The 5,045-nt window shown below is 49.7% G+C and overlaps 1 long non-coding RNA gene across 2 annotated transcripts, besides 4 other annotated features; it reads left to right on the top strand.

The window, feature by feature from the left end:
* Positions 102-221: an enhancer, noted in NCBI's record as "active region_24583". NCBI's record gives its function as "activates an Ori minimal core promoter by ATAC-STARR-seq in GM12878 lymphoblastoid cells {active_cell/tissue: GM12878}" and the evidence as "EXISTENCE:reporter gene assay evidence [ECO:0000049][PMID:35858748]".
* LOC124900215 (uncharacterized) lies at positions 256-4,028 on the top strand. Of its 2 annotated transcripts, none has more exons than XR_007059579.1 (2): positions 256-416; positions 3,727-4,028. It is a non-coding gene; the product is annotated as an uncharacterized LOC124900215 (long non-coding RNA). The 2 variants fall into 2 exon arrangements; XR_007059580.1 differs by having other exon boundaries at positions 256-738.
* Positions 3,130-3,348: a silencer, noted in NCBI's record as "fragment chr6:42948960-42949178 (GRCh37/hg19 assembly coordinates)". NCBI's record gives its function as "represses an EF-1alpha promoter that drives an FKBP-Casp9 reporter gene in an ReSE screen in K562 erythroleukemia cells {active_cell/tissue: K562}" and the evidence as "EXISTENCE:reporter gene assay evidence [ECO:0000049][PMID:32094911]".
* Positions 4,587-4,783: a silencer, noted in NCBI's record as "fragment chr6:42947525-42947721 (GRCh37/hg19 assembly coordinates)". NCBI's record gives its function as "represses an EF-1alpha promoter that drives an FKBP-Casp9 reporter gene in an ReSE screen in phorbol 12-myristate 13-acetate-treated (for megakaryocytic differentiation) K562 erythroleukemia cells {active_cell/tissue: K562(+PMA)}" and the evidence as "EXISTENCE:reporter gene assay evidence [ECO:0000049][PMID:32094911]".
* Positions 4,978-5,027: an enhancer, noted in NCBI's record as "active region_24582". NCBI's record gives its function as "activates an Ori minimal core promoter by ATAC-STARR-seq in GM12878 lymphoblastoid cells {active_cell/tissue: GM12878}" and the evidence as "EXISTENCE:reporter gene assay evidence [ECO:0000049][PMID:35858748]".

The following is a 5,045-nucleotide window of genomic DNA, read 5'->3' as shown; positions in this document are numbered from 1 at the left end:
GCCCGGGTCGAGCGGTGCCTGCGCCTCCAATTGGCCCGAACTCCTACAAAACTGCCTGACAACCAGGCGCCGCCTCCTCGGATTGGTCATTGGAGCCAAGCTGCTTCCTTTTTTTCTTATTGGAAAGAAATAGTACAAACCGCCAGGGTTCGGCTTCCAGAATTGGCTGAAGTGGGTGGTCCCGCCCTAAAGTGGGTCGAGCTTAGAGAAGGAGGCGGGGATAAGGGGAAACCCAAGCTTGGCTAGGAGGGCTGCACTCCAGCGTCTGCTGTGCGTCGGCCTCGGCCATTCTTCGCGGCGCTTGGAGCCCTGCTCTTTCCTTCTAAAGGCTCTCACACTTTGCCCGCTCTGCTACCCTGTCCAGTCGGAATTGGAGGAAGGAAGCCCTAATACGGAGGGCACCTTTCTTCACTGGGGTAAAGTAGCCCTAATTGCAGATGCAAAATTGATGGAGGGAGCTCCCAAGGACCTTCCAAGACACCCGCCTCCCTAGACAGGGGTTGCAGAGGAGCAAAGGGGAAGCCTGGCAGGGCTAGGACCTGGGCGAAATGAGTGGAGAATCCCTGGCTTGGTGCAACTTTAGGAAGAGGGTCCCCGTTGCTACTGCAAGTGTACTGGGATTGGGGAACCAGCTAGATTTGAGCAGTTGGGAACGCAGTGGAAAAGCAACTTCATTGTTGACTGTCTCAGGAAATCCATCCCTTACTTGCCACCCTGCTCAAGTCCGTGTTCTAATGGGTAAGACTCAGTTTATGCCCACAAAGAGTTCGCAGTCTGGTGAATCACAGATGTGTATAAACAAAGGATTAAGAGAGAATGTAAACCAGGCAGGCACGGTGTCTCACGCCTGTAATCCCAACACTTTGGGAGGCTGAGGCAGGAGGATCACCTGAGGTCAGAGGTTCGAGACCAGCCTGGCCAACATGGCGAAACCCCGTCTCTATTAAAAATACAAAAATTAGCTGGGTGTGGTGGTGCACGCCTGTAATCCCAGCTACTCGGGAGGCTGAGGCAGGAGAATCACTTGAACCCGGGAGACGGAGGTTGCAGTGAGCCGAGATCACACCACTGCACTCCAGCCTGGGCGACAGAGCAAGACTCTGTCTCAAAACAGCAACAATGACGACAAAAAGAATAAACCTGTGGCCAGGCTCGGTGGCTCACGCCTGTAGTCCCAACACTTTGGGAGACCAAAGTGGGCAGATCACGAGGTCAGGAGTTTGAGACCAGCCTGACCATAGTGGTGAAACCCCATTTCTACTAAAAATACAAAAATTAGACAGGGTGCGGTGGCTCACGCCTGTAATCCCAGCACTTTGGGAGGCCGAGGTGGGCGGATCACGAGTCAAGAGATCGAGGCCATCCCGGCCAACATGGTGAAACCATGCCTCTATGAAAAATACAAAAATTAGCGGGGCGTGGTGGCGCGCGCCTGTAGTCCCAGCTACTCGGGAGACTGAAGCAGGAGAATCACTTGAACCCGGTAGGAGGCTGAGGCAGGAGAATTACTTGACCCCGGTAGGTGGAGGTTGCAGTGAGCCGAGATCATGCCACTGCGCTCCAGCCTGGGCGACAGAGCAAGACTCCGTCTACAAAAAAAAAAGAAGAAACCTGTGATGCAAAGGCATGAGAATGATACAATGGAGGCCGGGCGCGGTGGCTCACGCCCGTAATCCCAGCACTTTAGGAGGCCGAGGCGGGCGGATCACGAGGTCAGGAGATCGAGACCATCCTGGATAACACGATGAAACCCCGTCTCTACTAAAATAATACAAAAAAATAGCCGGGCGTGGTGGCAGGCGCCTGTAGTCCCAGCTACCCGGGAGGCTGAGGCAGGAGAATGGCGTGAACCCGGGAGGCAGAGGTTGCAGTGAGCCTAGATCATGCCACTGCACTCCAGCCTGGGCGACAGAGCAAGACTCCGTCTCAAAAAAAAAAAAAAATACTACACATTGGGTACAGTATACACTGCTTGGGTGATGGCTGCATCAAAATCTCATAAATCACCACTAAAGAACTTATTCATGTACAAAAAATAAATTTTTAAAATTCTATATAAAATAAAATATTTAGTCTTAAAAAAAAAAAAGGTCAGGCGCAGTGGCTCACGCCTGTAATCCCAGCACTTTGGGAGACTGAGGAGGGCGGATCACCTGAGGTCAGGAGTTCAGGACCAGCCTGGCCAACATGGCAAAACCCCGTCTCTACAAAAATACAAAAATTAGCCAGGCATGACGGTGGGTGCCTGTAATCCCAGCTACTCAGGAGGCTGAGGCAGGATAATCCATTGAACCCGGGAGGTGGAGTTTGCAGTGAGCCGAGATCGCACCATTGCATTCCAGCCTGGGCGACAGGGCAAGACTCCATCTGAAAAAAAAAAAAAAAAACACAAAACCTGTGTCCCTTACCCAGGTACCCAGGAGAGCAATGTTACAAGACAGTGGCCGTGGGGATGGAGAAGAGAGGATGGAGCATGAAAATGTGTAGAATCAACAGGATATGGTGATTCATTGTATTGTGGGGGGGACGGTAACGGAAAGGGAAGAGTTGAGGATGATTTCTGGAAGTGATCAGAGTTGTAGGAGGACAACTGGTGTCATAATGGCAAAGGAAATAAAAGACAATTGGTCAGTAGTGTCAGAGAAAGAACAGCATCATCTTGATTCTGCAATTAGAAGATTATGGGTGATTTTTTCAGAGAGTGGAAGACCGTTTTTAGTGAGTGGAAGAGTGAGCATCAAGAGGTGAGGAAGTGAAGATGGCAAATGTAGGGTCCTGGCGATCTTACAGAAGTAGTATTTGGCTTTCGGTGACTAATGACGATTTCAGGGTAACACAAAGTGGACTACATGCCCGCTGTTACCTGCTGGGAGAAAAGCTTGGGAGAAAAGGACATTTATTTGTGGGTGGGTATTTGTGTCTGTATGAGTGCTGATCCAGGCAAGATAACTGATGTTTTTACCCATCTCCAAGGCCTCAAGGAGCACTATAGTCCTGAGGCCTAGAGCTTGCCTGCTACTGAGGAAAGCAGGCATATCCTCTTTAGGCCCATGTACCATCTATCTAGCCCTTGGTTCCTCTGGGACATAGGGGACCAAGAAACATATAGTAGCACTACCAAATGGGAACTTTCATCCATGTGAATCTAGGTACCTAGAACATTCTTTATTTAGTTTTTTTTTCTTTTAATTTTATATATTTTAAGAGACAAGGTCTTGCTCTGTCACCCACTTGGAGTGCAGTGGCACAATCATAGCCTCAAATTCCTGGGTTCAAGTGATCCTTCTGCCTCAGCCTCCCCATAGCTGGGATTATAGACACAAGCCATGGTTCCTGGTTAGTACATTCTTGCATGCTATTTTATTTATTTTTTTCTATTATTTATTTTTTTGAGACGGAATCTCACTCTGTCACCCAGGCTGGAGTGCAGTGGCGCAGTCTCGGCTCACTGCAAGCTCTGTCTCCCGGCTTCACGCCATTCTCCTGCCTCAGCCTCCCGAGTAGCTGGGACTACAGGCACACACCACCATACCCAGCTAATTTTTGTATTTTTAGTAGAGACGGGGTTTCACCATGTTGGCCAGGCTGGTCTCAAACTCCTGGCCTCAAGCAGTCCACCCACTTGGCCTCCCAAAGTGCTGGGATTACAGCCATGAGCCACTGCGCCCAGCCCCTTATAATATGCAAATCTAATAGTTTTCATATATTTGTCTTTCAAATTTTCAGGAATGTATAATGTACAAAATAGAAGACTGCCTCAAGAAGAAAGGAGAGATGGAGAAAGCTGAGCAGTAGCTGAAAGAGAATGTAAGGTCTAGAAAATGGAGATTGGCACCATCCAATTCATTTATTGTAAGTGAAAATAATTGTTAATAATTGGAAATGCAGTGGGACATGATGGCTTATGCCTGTAGTCCCAGCACTTTGGGAGGCTGAGGCCTGAGGATCTCTTCAGACCAGGAGTTTGAGACCAGCCTAGGCAACACAGAGAAACTCTGTCTCTACAAAAAATAAAAAATTAGTCCAGGCGCAGTGGCTCATGCCTGTAATCCCAGCACTTTGGGAGGCGTAAGCAGGTGGCTCACTTGAAGCCAGGAGTTCGAGACCAGCCTGACCAACAGGGTGAAACCCCGTCTCTACTGAAAATACAACATTAGCTGGGTGTGGTGGCACACACCTGTAATCTCAGCTACTTGGGAGGCTGGGGCAGGAGATTCTTTGAACCTGGGAAGCGGAGATTGCAGTGAGCTGAGATCGTGCCATTGCACTCTGGCCTGGGCAACAAGACCGAAACTCCGTCTCAAAAAAAAAATTGGCTGGGTATGGTGGCGTGTGCCTGTGGTCCCGGCTACAGTTACTCGGGAGGCTGAGGTGGGAGATCACTTGAGCCTGGGACGGTAGAAGCTGCAATGAATGGGGATCGTGCCACTGTACTCCAACCTGGGTGACAGAGTAGGACCCTGTTGCCATAAAAAAGGAAATGTGGCCTACCACTAGCTGAGTGTCTTGTACAGAACAGTGGAGGTGAAGAGAAGGATGGAATCTAAATAACAGCACACGCAGGAAGTCGACTGTTGGTGTTATGCTGACAGAAGCCTTGAACTCCTTTCCTTCTGCCTGCTCTGCTGCCTGCCCCGCTCTAGGATAGAAAGTGAATGGGTTTCCGATCTGCAAGGATTTGGGGGGGGGGGGTGAAAGAAAAGCTGTTTTGTCTTCAACTTAAGTTTGGTGGGAGTAAAACAAACAGAACAATGAACAGGGCAAGAAGTCCTGGAACATGGGTTTTGTGCCAGATGTGCTGGAACATGTGTGGTGGCACCAAGCACTCCAGGGCTGTATGAATCACATCTAGTAATTCACTCAGCAGCCACTATATACCTATAAGCAAGTGTGAGACAGTTTTCTAATCCTGCTACTCCCTCCTGCAACCTTTCCTGCAACCCTCAAACCTCAGTGCTCACAGTTCCACAGGGGAAGCTGCAGGAGCTCCGCAGAGGAGCGGACTCCTTCCGAAACATTTCACCTAGAGCTCCCAGTACTGGGCC

Source organism: Homo sapiens, chromosome 6 (genome assembly GCF_000001405.40).
Source record: "Homo sapiens chromosome 6, GRCh38.p14 Primary Assembly".
NCBI lineage: Eukaryota > Metazoa > Chordata > Mammalia > Primates > Hominidae > Homo > Homo sapiens.
The sequence above is the reverse complement of the archived record's forward strand: the minus strand, read 5'-3'. Positions and strand labels throughout refer to the sequence as shown.